A 19210-nucleotide genomic window follows, 5' to 3' on the forward strand; every position below is an offset into this window, starting at 1 on the left:
ACAAGGTACAGAGATATACCAGAGAGTCCAAAGTTTACCAGAAATTTCACCTTACTCTTCCCTGGGAAACAATCGTCTCTCTAGATCGCAGTGCTGTTGGCATTCTGGACTTCGCTGTCGAGGGCTGTCCTGTTCCTTATGGGATGTTTAACAACATCCATGGGCTCCATCCTCTCCATGCTAGTAGCATTTTCCCAGTTGGAACAACCAAAAATAAATGTCTCTAGACATTATCAAATGTATTCTAGAGTCGGGGGAATGTTAACCTTGCCCCCAACTGAGAACCTCTACTCTAAACTATGAGCTCTTTGAGTATAGGGAGCATATCTGATTCTTCTTTATAAACCAGCCTAGCCCCGGGAAAATGCCAGACATAGAGTAAATGTTCAATGAAGTTTGACTGCAATTATGCAAGAGCAAAAAAGTGAACACAGCTGCGGTTGGAAAGGACTTCTTTTGCTCTTCATCTGAAAGGAGCAAATGATGCTATTCAACCCTTCTGGACACTTTTATAGAAAAACCAATGTGAAAGATCTCACCTGTTTAAATTAGAACACCACTGCCTGTCCATGAAAAGTCGGCTCAATAAAGACAGAGTAGGGGGTGCCTGGACAGAAGGAAGGAAAAAATGCACATAGACAATTTAATAGTGGGGAAGTTAAAAAAAATCTTTGCCAAGTAATGAAATTATTAATTACAATTCATGTCAGTTTTTGCAACAGCCATGTGAATAGATGGACAGACTGTTGAGCAGTATTTCTGGAAGGAATTGTACATTTAAAAAATGAGGCATTGCTGGAGAGATATTGTGTGTGGGAGAATTTACAGGAGCATACACCCCTGTAAGTTCATGGGGTGTTAACAGGGAAGCCATGGCACCTTTAGGCCAGATGTAGCTTGCACATCAAAAGGGCATTGCATTCACCCATGTCATTGTCCTCTGAAAGATCAAACTCTCATTATGCGCCTGATGCAGTATCTTCTATTTGAGGCAGTTTACATATTTCTCTCTTTAAAAATAGAGGCAGCTACTTCCTTCTTTCCACAAATGCTCTTATCAATTTTGAATTACAGAGATCTATTTTGAGATGAACACATTGAACAAAACCTTCATCCGTGTGTGCGTGTGTCTGTGTATGTGTGTTTTTATTTCCCAACATGGCGGTAGGAGCTTATGCCCGCTATCTGCATAAGTCTTTTGTGTATTGCTAATGGAGTGCTGGAATTGTAGCAGCCCTGAGCAGGGAATACATGTGAGCAACAATATGCTGAGAGACCCCTCAGTGGAATCTAATCTGTTCCAGCTCATGCACTCCTCAGAAACTATTTAACTTTCATTAAACTGTGTTTGATATCAGCTAAATAGGATGCATACGGCTCCAATATAGCTCATATGGTCGCATTCATTCGATCACAGCAGTGCTTTTTTCTTATATTTCCCCCCACTTGTGTCAGTACCCAGTATAGCTGGGTAAATAGGAGACCTTTGAAGATGTAGTTAGTACTCAGATTTCTTTATTCTTTTGTGCTGGTTTCTTAGTGTTGAAACAGTGATTCATGTATGTCGCAGACAGCCTCCATTAATTTCATGTAATGTAGCTTTTATCTCGTAGCTGGGACAACTATCTTCAGCATTCTGTCGCTCTAGCATCCCCTGCTCTGGCCACAGCCCCCTTTGCATCTCCTAGTTTCCCTCCAGGTCTCCACCACTCTCCATAATTCCTCTTTCTTCATGGAAAATATGTTCATTTCCAGCCGCTGTATTTTTCTGGTTGTTGTAGCATAAGAACAAGTAAATAAACAGGTTATGATGAGAAGGAGAAAAAAAATGAGGGGTGAGATTTTCAGTCTGGATAAGCCTTTATATCCGAAGGAGAAAAAAAGAAAAGCTCCTGGGATGAAAACATGTATCCGGGCAGGAGAACAGTTTTGTACCCCCACTCTGCTACACACACACACACACACACACACACACACACACACACACACACACACGCACACACTCCATTCAAAGGACACTAATTTGATTATGAATACAGCACAGTAGGAGCATGCAGTTTCCCAGTTTCTGAGGAGGAAAGGGCTAGTGAATTTACAAATCTAGAGCTGTTAAAAAGTTTTAATGATCAAATATACATAAAACACACACACACAAAGTGGGACAAAGGACTGGGCCTATTACCAATATGATATCAGCTAAATAAACGTCATTACTTGCAAAACTTATTTTCTCTTTAATACTGAGAAAGTGTTCGGAATTTCACCTTTAAACAGATTAAGGGGACATGGATGTGATTTTTCTACGTTATCCTCACTGATATTTTTTATCATGTTTTATTAAGTCCAAAGGAATAATCACAATTTTTTAGATCACTTAAGAGAAACAACATGGGGTCCTTTGGTACAGGGAACCCAATTATTTCCGATATTATTTTGTGAACCTTTTTCATTTTATTAGTATACCAGAGGGTTTTCACATTCTCAAGAGAATCCAGCTATTATTGCTTTTTTGGAAGAAATGTCTCACTGGGACAATTAATTTATACATTAACACCAGTCACAGTTGTGCTGTATATTATTAAAACTATAAAGGGAAAAGGGCCACATTTAATCATTCGGTTCAGAAAGGGGTCATTTATACGTGCATGTGTATAGAGAATAAGCCACTCCATGAGTAGCCCTCACAACGTAAGAAGTCTGCAATGCCCTGTGCTGGTTATGCTCTCTCCAGAAACACTACTGGTTTACAGAAAAGAAAAATGAAGCTGAGAAAGGTGAATACATAGGCAGTCTTGGAGCCTGCCTATGTCTGTCTCCACTACACTTGAGGAATGTTATCCGTTTAACTTTGTTGATGAGCACATGTAATTAAGACGCTGTGCTTTAATGTTTGATGGTGGGACTTGAAAGGGTGATTTAAAAAATTATTTAGATAAGCATATTGACATTTTAGTATATATTATTAATCTTATTAATAGTATTAACAAAGGCTAATTGAAAATGCATCATCTATAATTATATTAGTCTTCATTTTAGTACATTTTTGTCAGAGTAAACTAGAAAGGAGTAATTAATGTGCCACTGTTATTTACCCCTGTTTGTATTAAAGCTGGTGTTACACAATGTTAGAGATGAATATAGCCTGATTTCACTGAATACCAAGGAGCAAGCATTCAGACGCAGTAAAATAAGCAGCTGTGTTTTCTTGTACCAGGAACCTAAAAATAAAAATTGACTTCAGGATTGCATGATAGGTGTGCAGGAGCTGGAGAGAGGTTTCTAGCCTCTGATCGTCCATGCGGCTACACTTTTGGCTGCCCTGCTTCCCCCCTCATTGGTGGGCTCAGGGCTCCATGACTGCTCATTATCTGGAGCCCCTGTATCACCTCAGTTTCAGGAGTAAATATAGAAAAGCATGCCCCAACGCATTGGATCCTTGGGGTCACTGATGCCAGTTTCACTGGGACAGAGCAAGGAAAATGATTTTACGTTTGTGGGGGATAAATCCAGGACCAGTGTTGAGCCTTCAAAACATGTTGGCTCTGTCTTTCCTGTGATAAGAGAAAACTCTAACAATGATCCAAGCAATATTGCCCTCAAAATCAGATTCCCAAAGTTAGTATTGACACTTCCAAGCCCTGTACCCTGACCCTGGTTCCCCTACACACACACACACACACACACACACACACACACACAATTACAAGACTACAAAATGAAATAGCTTCTCTAGCTTTCATGTACCAAAGGTGAAAAAAAAAAAAAAAAAAAAGAAACCCTAACAGAAAGCAAGCAGGGGAGAATTAAGTTAATGAGGAATTAATCACTTTAAAGTTTTCTCCCACCCTTGCTTTTATGATTCAGTCTTCCCGAGGTCAGCTACTTCCTGAGGCCAGCCCAGCACGGGGTGTGAAATGGAGGCACACAGGGATGGCGTTGAATGGCACATCTTTTAATCAGGTGGAGCCAAGACAGCGATGGCTGGTATTCCAAAGCTGGGCTCTGGGCTTTCTCCTGAGCTCTGATAAAAAGCGTGGCATATTGGTTGCATTGGCTGCCAAGTGCTATGTCCGTGCCCTCTCCGCAGTGGCCAACCACAAACATGCTAGCTAGAAGCTCTCAGGGGGCCCCGTGTGTGCTGTTCCTACACGGCTAACATATGTATCGACACCTGAAAGCTACAGCCTGCCACGTCTCCAGGACCTCGCTCGCCTACCTTTGCTCCTTGGTCACCAAGGGTTAATTTTCTAATGGCTGCCTTGCTGCTGAAGCTGGCCAAGTTTTTCATCGCCTGCAGAGCACCACAAGCTGTGATTTGGAGCCAGAAAACACCATTAATTTTCTAAATAGGAAGGATCACATATGTAAACTGTCTGGTGCTGTAACGAGTCAGGCAGGTAGAAGATGAAGGAGGAGGAAGTGAATTTTTCTAGACACACAGGCCAAACAGCCCAGGCCAATGGGCAGCATACTGTGTAAAACTTTGGGGGGTGGGGTGGCAGGGGTGGGAGGGGGGCCAAGGAATTTCCTTCCCATCTTTAAGACAGTTTCAATACCAGCCTTCAATATTTCTACGAAAGGTCAGGTTGGTAATTTATTGGGCAATGTTGGGAGTTTGCACATGAGACTTCACAATAAACTTATTTGTAAATGGAAGGAAGGATTAAGTAAAGTGTAGCCTCTCAGAGACTACATAAAAGCTCATGAGTACAAAACAGTTGTGGTTAACACACCCAGGGTTTTCAAGAGACACAGAATCAAAAATTCCCCTGATGGAAATTACTTAGGCAGCAACTTAGGCAGAACATCTAGAACCTAGATGTTCTAGACACTTGAGAAATGCATTTTTGCCGATTTTGCAAACCTATAAAAAATAATCTATGGAATAAAAATCTACCAAAAAAAGCAAAATCCTCCATTCAGAATTTAGCATGGATGTATGCATGTGTGTGTGTGTGTGTGTGTGTGTGTGTGTGTGAGAGAGAGAGAGAGAGAGAGAGAGACAGAGAGGAGGAGTAGGGGAGACAGAGAGAAAGAGGGAGAAATGGAGGCATAAAAAACGGTGATAAAAATGACGTCCTGAGTTTTAAAAAATATTTTATCTCCAGTATATACATCTCTTTCTGGAGTAACTATTACTGTTATGTGAGATGCCAGAACAGTGCCAGAGGTGAAAGTGCATGATAGGCCTAATAGAACATGCAAACGTCTTTCTGCCTTATGCTGGCTCTAGAATACCAGCACAGAACTGCCCATCTCCCCATCTTGCCCTGTTTCTGGGATCTTCTTTCTAACTTCTGCCATTCTGGTTCCAACCCACAACTCTTTAAAAAATCTTTAGCTAACATCAATTTATCCATTCTCTGTCTTTTATTGCTCTTTGGACAAAAATAAAAATGCCAAGATTTGTGCAATATAAATAAATTTGGGGCAGCTTTTTTGCTGCATTGTAGATATAGGGTTGAATGTTGATCCTGGATTCAGGCCCTAGTAAAGTACTGCTTAGGTATAGAGAATTCAATGCCTCAGAGTGTTCCCTGAGACAAGTAAAAGGGACTCATACAAATAAATGATGGTAGGCTTCTGCAGTCCAAAAGTGTATATGAAACCCCAGTATTAGAGAAGAGTGACTTGAAGACTCTGGCTGTGGGTGAAGGAAGACTCATAGAAAGGGCTATGTAACCTCATGTATATTTATTTGAAAAACAGGTAAGATATTTCAAGTTATTGGAGAAAAATGGCCCCAAGGAAAACATGTACACTTTCAGGGTACATTAATTTCCTAGGGCTGCTGTGATAAAGTACCACAACTGACTGGCTTTGGCAACAGAAATATACTGTCTCACTGTTCTGGAGGCTGCAAGTCCAAGGTCAAAGTATCAGAAGGGTTGGTTCCTGCCGAAGGCTGTGAGGAAAGGATCTGTTTCAAACCTCTCTCCTTGGCTTGTAGATGGCCTTCTTCTCCTGTTCCTTCACACCATCTTTCCTCTGTACAAATCTGTCTCTGTGCCCTAATTTCCCCTTTTTATAAGGGTACCAGCCATATTAGATGACGCATCCCTTAATAGATTCATCTTAACTAATTATATCTTCAATACCCCTATTTCCAAATTAGGACACATTCTGAGGTACTGAGAGTTGAGACTTTAAAGTATCAATTGGGGCAGAAGATGGGGGATGTTGGTGGAGGGAGACATCATGTAACCAATAACACAGGGTGAGAGGAAGAACTTTAAGAGTTGAGCAATAGAAAATTTTCATAATACTGACTCAAGGCATATCTGCAGTAATGTTAAATTGTATATGCTTGCCACTTTAGAGACTTCTGGGCATTTTTGCTCCCAATAATTTCTTTCAGATAACTCTATCTTGACCATCCTCAAGAGCTGCATTATTCACACTGTCCTGGTGGAAAAACTGAGACTTTGAGAAGTTAAATTGTCACTAAATGTCCCACAACTGCAGACCTAAGACTCTCATTTAAGACTTCTGTCTCCTACCCTAGTATTTTGCCCACTAATCCACACTGCCTGCTTCACGCTACTCACTAAAACACTTCACCACCAGCAATACAGCTTGAGTTCTTCCATTAAGTCACCAAATAAAGTGATCAGCCTAATTCTCTCATTTCTTTCCCATAGTTCCTCCAAGGAGTTTGACGTGGGGTGGGACTTATCTCCCAGTATAATTGTTATTTTTCCAAATAAATCTTATAGAGTTCCATTCTGAATGAAGTACAATACTAGAGCTAAACCCACGAAACTCTATTTCATGGTTTTACTTGCATATATATGAGTCCCACTCTGGAATCCATGCTGACACCAGGACCAAGCAAATGACTCCAGAATTGGCCCAAAGTAGACCCAAGCTGGGTGTTGATATTTGCAATAGCCAAGCTGGATGCTGAGCAGCCATCATTTTTCAGCTAATTTTCTCCTTTCCCCTCCTCCCTTGCTCCAGGTAGAGCATTATTCATTAAGAGTGCTGCAGAGCTCAGTAGAGCTCATTCTCGCTGAGATAGCCTCTATGATCTTCTGAAGCCTTTAAAAGGGAATGAGCCTTGGCCTCCTTTTTATGGGCTACATTATGACCTGGCTTCAAAGTGTGAAAAGAGGTTCCAAGATTCCCTTTGTGCGGTGGAGTCTCTTAATTGCACTTTTAAACACAGTGTAATTTTTGTAATTAACATTATGGTTTCAGAGGGCAGAGAAGCCCGCACCGTGCTAATTACAAACCCACGTCTTCAGAGTTGCGGAATTTCCAAGGCCTCTGATATTGGGGCGGAATACAGTTTTTATGAAGGATTTCAAAGATCCTCTGTGGGCTGTGTTCTGAGTCATCATTAGCATTTGATAACATAAAGAAATTTTACAACATGTGACAGATTTTCTATGTGAAGATTTTACCTGATAACCGGAAAATTTGCATAAAGAGTTTCATTAGGTCTCCTCTCACATTACTGAAAGAGTAAGAAGTATAGTGCACTCTTTCCCTAAGATTGTTCTTAGGAGCCAAGGAATTGGTGCTTTAGAATAAAATTTACAGTATATTATGAAGTGAAGTTGTAATAATCTTCAATGATGTTGAAAATCAGAGGATACGTGGCTTTTAAGCAGAGGGAGAGAATATGTATCAGAATTACTGAGTAACTGAAAACCTTGCAGGAGAGGTATATTGTACTATTCTGTGCCATATAAAAGACATAGTCCTGCTAGGCTGCAGAGTCAAGGTGAGAGCTTCATATATATATAACACCAAGCGGCAATAATGTGTAATTTTTTCACTCTGTGAAGAGTCTGTTCACTGAGGAAAATTATCTTCCTCTTATTCCAGAGGCAAGTTTATCTTTCCTTTACTTTTCAATCCAAGCCATCAACTGAGTAGTGTGTACACATGTGTGTAAAGATTCTCTCATGTGCACACACACGGGTGCACACACTCACATATACACACACTTCCAAAGCTGCAGTGTGCATTCTTTGCAGGGTGATCACAGCTTCTGCAAAGACGGACTGGCCTTTCTTAGGCTGATAATGCCAGAAATTGTACTGTGAGGTAGGAATTGAGTCCCAAGGCCATCCATTTGCTGAAATCCTTTCACTGAGCATGGATCAATTAAGCCAGTAATAGTGATAATTTGGGGAAAGCTTTCTGTCATGATGGGAACAAGAATTCATCATTATTCCATGCTGTCTTATTATTTCAACACCATACATATGCCGTTGGATGTATAGCAGTAGCTTGCGGCATTATCTCAGTGGGACGCATTTCCCTTCATGAGAGAGTCTTTTCCTTGGCGATTATGCAGATAATGCATAGCTTTGTAATGACATCACAAATAGAATCCAAAGTCCTAAGAAACAATTAGGGAAGTATATCAATACTTCCTTGTAATCATAACATCATCTGACTTCCAGTGGGATGCCAAGCTGGCTCCCCAAGTTCCATAATCACGTAGAAGCATTAATGGCTGCTTCACAATCCATCTTGGAGCCTCACAAATCCTGGCAGTGGAGACAAATTAATATGCATTTTAGCCCATTGTCAACAATAGAAATCACACTGGGGTTTTGATCACAGAACCTAGGGTGAGATCCAGGCAAATTAATCTACGCTGAAAAAAGCTGGACCCTCTCTATACTGACCTCAGGCAAAATGAAGACTGGACTAAAAAAATACAAAAGCCAATATTCCCTGAAAGTTAAACACCAACGAATCCTTGCAGACAATTGTGACATTTTCCGTTTGCAAAACTATTTCTGCGAGTGGGCTTTTAATTTTTTTCCTTGAGTTATTTTTCCCATGCAATATTTCCTTCCAGCCTAGCTTAATTCTCCTTAAAAATAAACATCCTTTTTTTTTCATGGGGGAAAAGGACCACTTTCTCTAATTGGTTTAAGGCATGTCAGTCACCTCAGCCTGTAAGGGATGCAAAACCATACTCTAAGTGGACTTTTAAAACCACATGGTAGGTTTTACAAGTTCTCTTCTCTCCTGCTGAGGGGAAAGCGGTATGAGGAGGATTCAATCATAGCTCTGGATTCCTTTTCCAATATTAGGAAAGGAACAAAACTCTTCTCTCCCAACTCTTGTAGCTCCCAACAAACAGAAATGGAAATTTTAGATAAATGATCAAACTTACCTAGTATATAGCTTTTATTTTTACAAAATATTTGCTTCCAGCAGAGTGTATCTTAATTCACAAATGCAGAAATCTGTCATTAAGATCTGACCCAGCTGCATGGCATTGTCAAATGCAATAACGTATCTTTTAATAGTTTTATATCAAGTAAGGATATAACATATCATTAGTTTAAATGTATTTGCAAGCAATTACCCCCACCAGGATATTTGAGAATGCTCATGCAAAATTGATGAAATTCTGACATGCCTAAACATTGTTCATTTAGCTCAATTCCTTATGTATAGAAAAAATAGAATAAATAATTCTGCTGCCATTTGCAAACCACTGTTCAGCATTTTTATTCCACTCAGGGCTTCAGTGCTGCCTTTAAAGTACAGCCTTTGGTGATCATTTGAAAAAAAAAATAGTTTCATATATGTTTAATTTTAAATAATGGACTAGATTTTTCATTCTCCTTATTATTGTTCAATGTAGTAATTTAAATATGGAGTAGATTTACTGCATGTCAGCTGCCTTTCTTTTACAAAATGGGATAAATTATTAAATGAGTAGAGGTTGTTTGACAACCAGTTTTCCAGTACTACACAAAAGAAAGACCTTTGCCATTCAGCTGTCTTCTAAAAAGAATAAAGTATAAATCAATTAAGTCACTATGCTGTGGTTCAGAAATGCCATGCTATGGCACAGTTTTCCTTTGCCTCTCAGGTGACTTTCAGATAGTGTCACCCTGACATTTGCATGGACAGAATGATAGCTATGTTGAGATCCTCCAGCGTCTTTCCTGGGTTTCTAAAACCTTCTTTGGCTGAACGAAGCATGCCCTACCAAAACATGAGAGACAAACAACAGCCAACAGGTTCCTTTCTGATTTTTTTTTACTGTACTGGTGAATGTTATATACTAATGATTGATTAATGTTTTTTCTGCTTTTGGATTTTGCATGCAATCTTTAATATGTTCACTGTGCCAAAGTAGAGAAATCTTGTGATGAACATCTCATCACCCTTTATGCAAGCCAGGTGAGAAATTGCATTTCAATGCCTTTCTATGCTATTCCTCAATACCATATTAGCATCTGTGTAATTAATAATACTTCGAGCTCTGTCAAAATGAAATCACTTTTATTCTTTCCCCAAAGAGTATCATTTATTAACTATGTATGATCCCCAAATACATTTTTCTTTACTAATGTCACTAGTAACTATACCTTTTGAAATATTAATCCATCTATCCAAAGCCATAAAGACTAGTCAAATTATTTTAAACAAATCTAATCACTGTGAAAAACAGTTAAACTGATTATTTGGAGAGTCATGTGATAGGTGCTTTTGGAAGACTATTTCTGAGTGGAGCACTGCTGCAGGGCATGCAAAAGGAAGGACAGTAAAACAAATAGATAAAAGGAAAGGTAAGGTGTCTTCTCTGAAGAAAATTCGAGTCTAGTTGAAGAGAGAAGACTGGTTGGTTCATATAACAATTATCGAGGCACGAAACTATATATAATTGAGCTAAGTGTCAGAATATAATTGTGGTAGAATGTTAGAGTAAGGAGACATCAATAAAAGCTGGAAGTCTGCATTTAGAAAAGCTTCATGGATGATGGGTCTCATACAATGAGTAAGATTTAGATGGATGGAAAGAGGGAGCAGATTCTAGGTGAGATGGTCAAAATTCTTTGAATTACGAAACATGTTTTTAAAATTTTTAAACAAAAGCATTTCTGGGAAGTGATAGGAAATTGAAATAAGTGTATTGGATAGTATCTATTTTGGGAGAACCCCAAAAAACATTAAGAAGGAAGCAGCACTTAAATGGGTTACATGAAGGGATACTCAGCCACTAACTCTTCTACAGCAATGAACTTCCAGACATGAAGCATCAGTCTAGGGTGTTGGCAGAAAGGCTAAATGGTGGGAAAAAGGGAAGCAGTCCAGTTATTGGACTGTTACAGTAATCCAAGGACAAGTTGATAAATTCCTAGGATATAATGGGGAAGTGGGAATGGAGAGGTTTCCTGGGCTGCTGATTAGCCAATAGAACACAGAGACTGACGGCTAAAGAGGCATCAAAATGTACTGGGAGGTACTGAATCAGGGTATGTGAGAAATTAATTAATGATGCTGCCCACAGGCAGATTGATAAAAGGACTGTGTTTCCTAAAAGACGTATCAGCAGAGGGAAGGAAAAAGAACAATAATTATTTTAACTTTTCGGCTACTTATTTTGTCACCATACAACTTGGCAATCATGCTGCTACACTCATTCTCACCCATAGCTAATGCTACAAAACATTCACTTTCACATCATTCTTCCTTGCTTAACTGCATAGAGACTCAGAATCCTTTTCACCATTGATTTCAGGGAAGCTATTACAAATTAATCAGAGTTAGTATACAAACACACACACACACACACACACACACACACACCCCACTCTGTCCCTAATTTATAAAAACAATAGAGGTACATATTAATGTAATATAATATTTAGAAAAAGATGAATGAAAAAATCTCAGAAAAACCATTCACATTTGCACATACACCACATGCACACACACACTTTTTACCAACAAGGGTCTCCATAGACCCAGAATGCTTAAAGATTGGGGAAAATTCTTTAGTTAATTCAAGCCCATGAATGATATGCTGGGATACTTAATGACAAAGTCTATCAGAAAATGGTGACTGAAAGACAAATCTTCCACCATCATTTCCCAGTAAAAATATAATTAGGAAAAAATGCAGATATATTTCCAGGTGGCCCCAAGAAGCAAGCAGCTGGAGAAAGATCTAAAGCCAGAGAGAAAAAGGTGAGTGGGGAAAATAGCGGGAGAAAGCTTCAGTATTTGTCTTCAGGAGAGGAGACTACGAGGTAACTTAATAATAGCTTTCAAGAGTTGGAAGAGTTATTCTGCAGGGAATGCTGACCAGCTGTTTTCCGTCTTTATTGAGGGCAGAATAAAAGGAGATGCACTAAACTGCAGGAGGAAGGATTTAATTTAGACATAGAAGAAGTGGCTTGATAATAAATGTTATTAGATGTTGGAATCAGTGTTAGAGGTAGCCCTGTTCTGTGGAGGGCTTGCAAGCAGGATTCACACACTGACCCTCAGGCCCAGCTGAGGGTGGGTACTGCTTGAAAGCAGTAGTTTAGGCCCACTGAACTCCCCTGTTCTCTTCCAGCTCCAGTATCTAAGATTTACCCCATCCACCCAGGCCTACCAGGTCAGTTAGAGCCATTCCAAGGAACGAAGAGAAAGTGGGCTATTCCCCAGCATGCAAACTTTCAACCATGTTTAACAAGGTGCCAGGAAAAACAAGCAGCTTGACCATAGATTCCCAAGCCTCCTGCCTTGTTAAATGCAGTTTATGGTTTACACAAAACTGCTCTGTCTTAATTTGCTTCTTTCCTATAAATGAAATGGGGTACATTTAATATTCCTATGGGGCTGATGCATTAGCCAAGTTCATGCTGCATATGGATTTAAAAGAAAATGGGTTCTTTTTTTTTTGCCAATCAGGGGTACCCATATTGAGAATCCCTAAAGAGAGAGAAGGTGGAACCCTAGGCCCTCATAAATGATAGATGCTAATATTACTGACATACATCTAATCTGTGTTTTTCCCCTCCTGTGCTATTGTTGTTGTTGTTATTTCTGTTGTTGTTGTTGCCCTTCCTTATAAAAATAGATGGATGCATTATAAAAATAGATGCATTAATGGGACATCAAATTTGTAAATATGTATTACTTTTTACCCTGTTTTTCCCTACCTAGTCAAAGTTGGTGAAAGTTTATAATAATATTTAAAGGTAAGATACTAAAAGATTCTGGTATTCCTCAATCTCATACCTTGCACTTACTGATACTTAATAAATATATGTTAAATAAATGACCAGGAGTTCTCTTTTTCATTCCCACACAGTCCATATGAAAGCTCTCCACATGGAAAAGCCCCTCAATAACTACTTTGCCCTCCTTGTAAAATGAGTCATCAGTCCTGCCAACATCTGAACTATTTCCCTCTCCCCAGTGAAGAATCAGATGTCCACAAGGGCGGAGGGAACACCCCACATGTGCTGTGCAGAGCTGGACATGTCCTTCACTCCCCTTGAATGCTGATGTGCTTTGTAGACAGTAACTGGGCCCTCTTCTTCTCCATATTCCTGAGATTGTTTTACATAATGCTTTGGGCATAAGGTACTCCACAAGTATCTGCCAAAAACTAAACAGAATACACAGAACAAAAGGAATGAGACATAGTAATCAAAGCCATGGACTCTGGAACTAGACTGCCTTGATTCAGATTCCAGCCCTGCCATTTACTGATTGTGTGGCTTTAGGCAAAATAGTTGTAACCTCTTCGTGTCTCATTTCTTCATCTGTTAAATGGGGATTATGACAGTGCCTACTTCATTGGGTTGCTGTAAAAATTAACTACGTTAATATCTTTGAAGCACTAGAACAGCGTCTGACAGGTAGTAAGCACCAAATAAATGACACATAAAAAGACACTGGGCTACTCGGGAAGCTGAGGCATGAGAATCTCTTGAACCTGGGAGGCAGAGGTTGCAGTGAGCCGAGATCACACCACTGCACTCCAGCCTGGGTAACAGAGCAAGACTGTGTCTCAAAAAAAAAAAAAAAAAAAAAAAAAAAAGAAAAGAAAAGAGAAGAAAAGAAAAGACACTGGGCCTCTGAATATGCTTCCTGGTATTGTAGCCCAGATCTACTAGCTGGTTAAAGCGTTTGGCAGCTCTGCTTAACATTACTGGTCTCCAAACCACCAGAAAGACAATGAGCATAATGACAGTAAACTCCATGCAGGGTCATAAATAGTGTGAAAGCTTTGGAAGCTGACACTGGAAACAAGGACAGAAAGGAAAACAATGGCTTCGTTGAATAAAATTGAAAAGATGAGCCAAAATGATCAACCCAACCCTATCATTACTGAATGCCTACAGATCTACTTGAAATTAGAGTCAGCATCTTCCATTTCCCCAATGAGAGGGACATGTTATTACTGTTCATTGGCACTGATTTCAGTGGGACACCTATGTGGCAGGTCCAAAAGCAACCACAGCACCAGCTCTTAGATCTGGTTTTGAGATGTACATTGCAGGAATGAAAATTAAATGGAACATGGACTTCCATTTATTCTTCTGGTACAGACATGGTCCTCTTTCTCACTGAGCTTAAAACCTCTCCTTGTGTGACTCAGCATTAAAGGTAGCGTAGCCCTACAAATCCACTGGATTGGAATAGAGAGGGAATAAAACAAAGGGTTCAAATCTTTGCTTCTAGATCCATGAAGCAACATGGTAGCTGTTCTCAGACACCAAATACAAACAGGTCTAATTCCAAAGAATAATAACATGTAGACTTTCTGAATCTTGAAGGCAGGAATTTTTGCTCCATTTTGAATTATTGCCTGTTTATGAAAGAATATTTATCTTGCAATGGAAATATATTTTTCAGACAATATGTTGAAGTACATTCAACCTATGTTGTATTCCTGCTATATGCTATGCATAGTGTTAGGTTTGTATGGAACTCACAAATATAATATGCAGGTCCAGTCTTCAAAACATGAATAAGCAAGTTGGGAAAGCAATACTTATACAAATAAAAATAATAAAATAATCTAAAATAGTTTATGGTAATAAAATGTCAAATTTTGTGGTTCAGGAATAAAGAAACTTTTAGAGAGTTGAGTTCCACATGGGCCAGAATGGTAAAAGGAGAAATAGTAGTCACCAGGTGTGAAGGGGCCTTTAAGGAATGGCTGATGTGTGGACTGGAAAATGGAAAAAGTGTAAGCAAAATGCTCAGCGATGAAAGTGATAATGGTGTACGAGAGAAACAGATCTGATCTCTTCTACTTCTGACCAATCAACTCTGAGGTCTTCCCCTTAGAAAATCCCTGCTAACCCAAAAGCTTCCAGGACTTTGAAGCCCCAAGAGGGTAAGTTCGAACAGACAGACAAGTTTTTTCAAGGATAGAGAAAACATCTACTGACCTCAAGCTTCCATATCAGAGGCTTCTCAGGAAAGAAAGCACAAAAAGGGTCAACTAACCAGTCCTGATTGTACAAACTCTCTGAACTATGCCTTAAAGTATTGCTTCAAGATAAAAGGTTAAATGAGGTTTGAGTGCAGTGTAATAAACCTTCACTGTTCATAAAGCTCTGAGTGATAAATGTATGTATGGTTACTGTATAAAAATATTGGGGTCAAATGCCAAAGATCTCTGAGGCTAAGGGTTTTTTTTTTCTTTTGCATGGACAGGTGAAGGGCCCCAAATCATCAAATATCAAGAAAATGGCAGCTTGTCAGTCAAAGGCACAATCTGCTCCAGCTCACCAGAGAAGCCCATTCCCAAACTTCACTCAGCCAGACATTATAAGCATTCTAGATGTGATATACAGCACACTATGGCATGTAATTTGTTTGGTTCCAAGAGACTAAGACAAGGGTTTGGAAGGTTCACTGCATTATAAAAGAGATATGCCCGGCTGCAGGTTTTCACATTTGTAAATAAAAAAATACCCTATTCCTCAATAACAGAACATCCAAGAGACAGGCATGAGTTGGTATCCATGGAATAACTAAGAAGATTTCAACCACTGCATTATATACCAGTCTCCACCAGTAAAACAAGGAGGTACTGCCACTGAGTCCCATAGGGAAAGGCAAGGCTCTGCTTATGAGTAACTTTGGCCTATGGCATAATTTGTGCCATATGTTTTTAAACAGTAAAACTTGGACTCCTGCAGCAGTGAAGGAGTTTGTGTAAAAGTATCATGGGACTCATCATTTCTGCACAATGAAGAACCCATTTTTACTTCAGGCTCAACCTAGAATTTGTCCTGCTAGTAAAAAAAAACAAAAAACAAACAAAAACAAAACAAAAAACAACACCTTGAATCATACAAACCATCTCCTTCTTTGTACCATGGGGCTGAGCACAGTAGCGAAGTTTAAGGAAACAAAAACCTATGGATACAAGGGAAAAGGAAAAGAGAGTACCTTGAAGTAATTAACTGCATGGAATTTGTAGAACATATTTAATAAAAGCAAAGGCCTTTTAAGAAAATCTGCTGACATGGACTTTTATTTGAAATCAAAATTTCGAGTCATTGCTGTTTTAGAGATTAAGAATTCCTCACAGTTAGCAATAAGGGTTTTACTAAGAGGAAGTGAAAAATCAGCTTCCACTTTTGAGCAACTATTATGGACTAGACATTGGGTCAAGCAGTTCACAAACACCATGCACATTTAGTCTTCACAGCAGCCTATGAGTATCTTACCTTATTTCTCAACTAGGGAAACAGGCCCAAAGAGATTTAATATCTTGTCCAAGTTAGACAGTTTGTAAGCATCTATAGTGGAATTCTAGAGAACATTGTCTGACTCCAAAGCCCATGTTCCTAGTCACAATTTACATCACTTCAACAGAGGGGGTGTATTAGTAGCTGTTTACTATAATCAACCCCACCAGCCTGGCACGGAATACATAGCATGAGAAGAACCCAAATGATGAAAGAGGAGAAATCTGAACCATAGTGGAAAAAAGAGAAAATCCCTTCGCTTCCACTGGCTACAGTTTCCGTTAAACCCTTGGAGATAGATTTGGAAATAAATATCATAATGCTGTATATTGTTTATAGTTTGCTGTATGGATTTATTGTTACATTTACTATATAGTAAACCAAATATAGTTCGAGGTTTCTAAATTTTTTATTTTATTGTTTTTATAAGGCCCCCAAAACATCTTAGATATTGTTACAGAGAAATGCCTATAAAAGTGGACCCCAACTGGCTATTTATAATCAAGATGCAGGGCCTAAAGTGAGACGGTCAGGTAAACAGCACACTTTATAGTTTGTTTCACACTTTGGGACTTATTTCTGGCCATGAGGAGCTGGGCACAAAATATGATTAATTAATTTTTGCCTACCTATTTACAACATCATGAAGACATTCTCCTATGTTATCTTTAAAAAGTGTTACCTTTCACATTTAAGTCCTTTCATTTTTTTTCCTAACAGATACTCAGTGATTCAGCACTTTTATTAAAGAGAAAATTATTTTCTCCATTGCACTGTGGTGGCACCTTTGTGTTATAATACATAAAATCATAACATAAAAACTTTCATGGTGGTGTGCATGTGTAACCCCAGCTACTCAGTGAGCTGAGGTGGCAGGATCACTTGATCCTGGGAGACAGAGGTTGCAGTGAGCCTAGATCTTGCCACTGCACGCCAGCCAGGGAAACAGAGTGAGACTCTGTCTCAAAAACAAACAAAAAACAAACAAAACTTTTGATATATTATAGTTTAAATCTTCCAAACTCCTTCATGATTATTTTGGCTATTCTTTCCATGTCCATGTCTATATAAATTTTAGATTCATTTTATCAATTTCCTTTTAAAAAATCTGCTGGGAATTTTATCAGAATGGAACTGAATCCATAGGTTAATTTGGAAAGAACTGACATATTTACAATGTTGAGCCTGCCATTCCAAGAACATGATAGGTTTTATTTAATTTCTCCATAATATTTTAGAGTATTCTTTATAGAAGTCTTAACAAATCTTTCATGAGATTTATTTCTAAGTAATTGGTCATCTGATGCTGTATTAAGTGGCATCATTCTTTCTTTACATTTTAATTTCTAATAGTTTGTTAACATTTTCTGGGGACTTGGCAATTCTGGGTCTTCCACCAAGACATACAAGAAAACCTTAACCTCGGAGATCTTTGGCACCTGACCCCCAACATTTTTAAAAATAACCTTGCACACATTTATCACTCAGAACTTTATGAACTGTGAAGGTTTGTTACATGGCACATAAAACCCAGTTGATTTTTACTACATTCACTTATTAATTTTAATAAGTTGTCTTCAGTTCTTTCGGATTTTCTACATACAAAATCATGTCACCTGTGAATAATGGAAGTTTTACTTCTTCTTTTTAAATTATTTATGCCTTTTCTTTTTTGCCTTGTTGTGCTGGTTAGGACCTCTAGTACAATGTCAGCTAGAACTGGCAAGAGCAGATCTTGTCTCCACAATCTCAGGGAAAATATTGCAATATTTTACCATTAAGTGTGAAGACTGTTGTAGATGTTTTGCAGATACTCTTTAGTAGATTAATGAAATGTTTTATTATCATGAATGGCTGCTGGATTTTTTCTAATCCTATCTTTTCAGTTATTAAAGTGATTATCAGATTTTTCTTATGGGTTCTTTTTTGTTTTTATTTCAGTGGGTTTTGGGAAACAAGTGGTTTTTGTTACATGAATGAATTGTAGAGTGGTGAAGCCTGGGATTTCAGTGCATTCCTGAGTAATGTACATTGTACTTACTATGTCATTTTTTTTATCCCTCCCATCTTCCCACCATCCCCACTTCTGAGTCTCTAATGTCCATTATACCACTCTGCATGTCTTTCCATACCCACAGCTTAGCTCCCATTTATAAGTGAGAACATACGGTATTTGGTTTTCCATTTCTGAGTTACTTCACTTAGAATAATGGCCTCCAGCTCCATTCAAGTTGCTGCAAAAGACATTTCATTCTGTTTTTGGCTGAGTAGTGTTCCATGGTGTAAATATAAGACATTTTCTTTATCCATTCATCAACATATGGGCACTTAGGTTGGTTCCATATCTTCACAACTGTGAATTGTGCTGTGATATACATATGCATGCAGAAGTATTTTTGACAGAATGACTTATTTTCCTTAGAGTAGATATCCAGTAGTGGGATTGTTGGATCAAATGATAGATCTACTTTTACTTCTTTGAGAAATCTCCATATTGTTTTCCGTAAAGGTTGTACAAATTTATTTATTTTTATTTTTTATTTTTTGAGACAGAGTCTCACTCTGTCACCCAGGCTGGAGTGCAGTGGTACGATTTCAGCTCACTGCAACCTCCACCTCCTGGGTTCAAGCGATTCTTCTGCCTCAGCCTCCTGAGTAGCTGGGATTACAGGTGTGCACCCCACACCCAGCTAATTTTTGTATTTTTTAGTACTGACAGGGTTGTGCCATGTTGG

At 38.8% G+C, this 19210-nt stretch overlaps 1 annotated feature.

The window, feature by feature from the left end:
* Window positions 4106-4606: an enhancer, noted in NCBI's record as "H3K4me1 hESC enhancer chr2:59892285-59892785 (GRCh37/hg19 assembly coordinates)". NCBI's record gives its function as "activates a minimal SCP1, AML or CMV promoter by ChIP-STARR-seq in naive H9 embryonic stem cells {active_cell/tissue: H9 hESC(naive)}" and the evidence as "EXISTENCE:reporter gene assay evidence [ECO:0000049][PMID:30033119]".

Source organism: Homo sapiens, chromosome 2, assembly GCF_000001405.40.
Source record: "Homo sapiens chromosome 2, GRCh38.p14 Primary Assembly".
NCBI classification, from domain to species: Eukaryota; Metazoa; Chordata; class Mammalia; order Primates; family Hominidae; genus Homo; species Homo sapiens.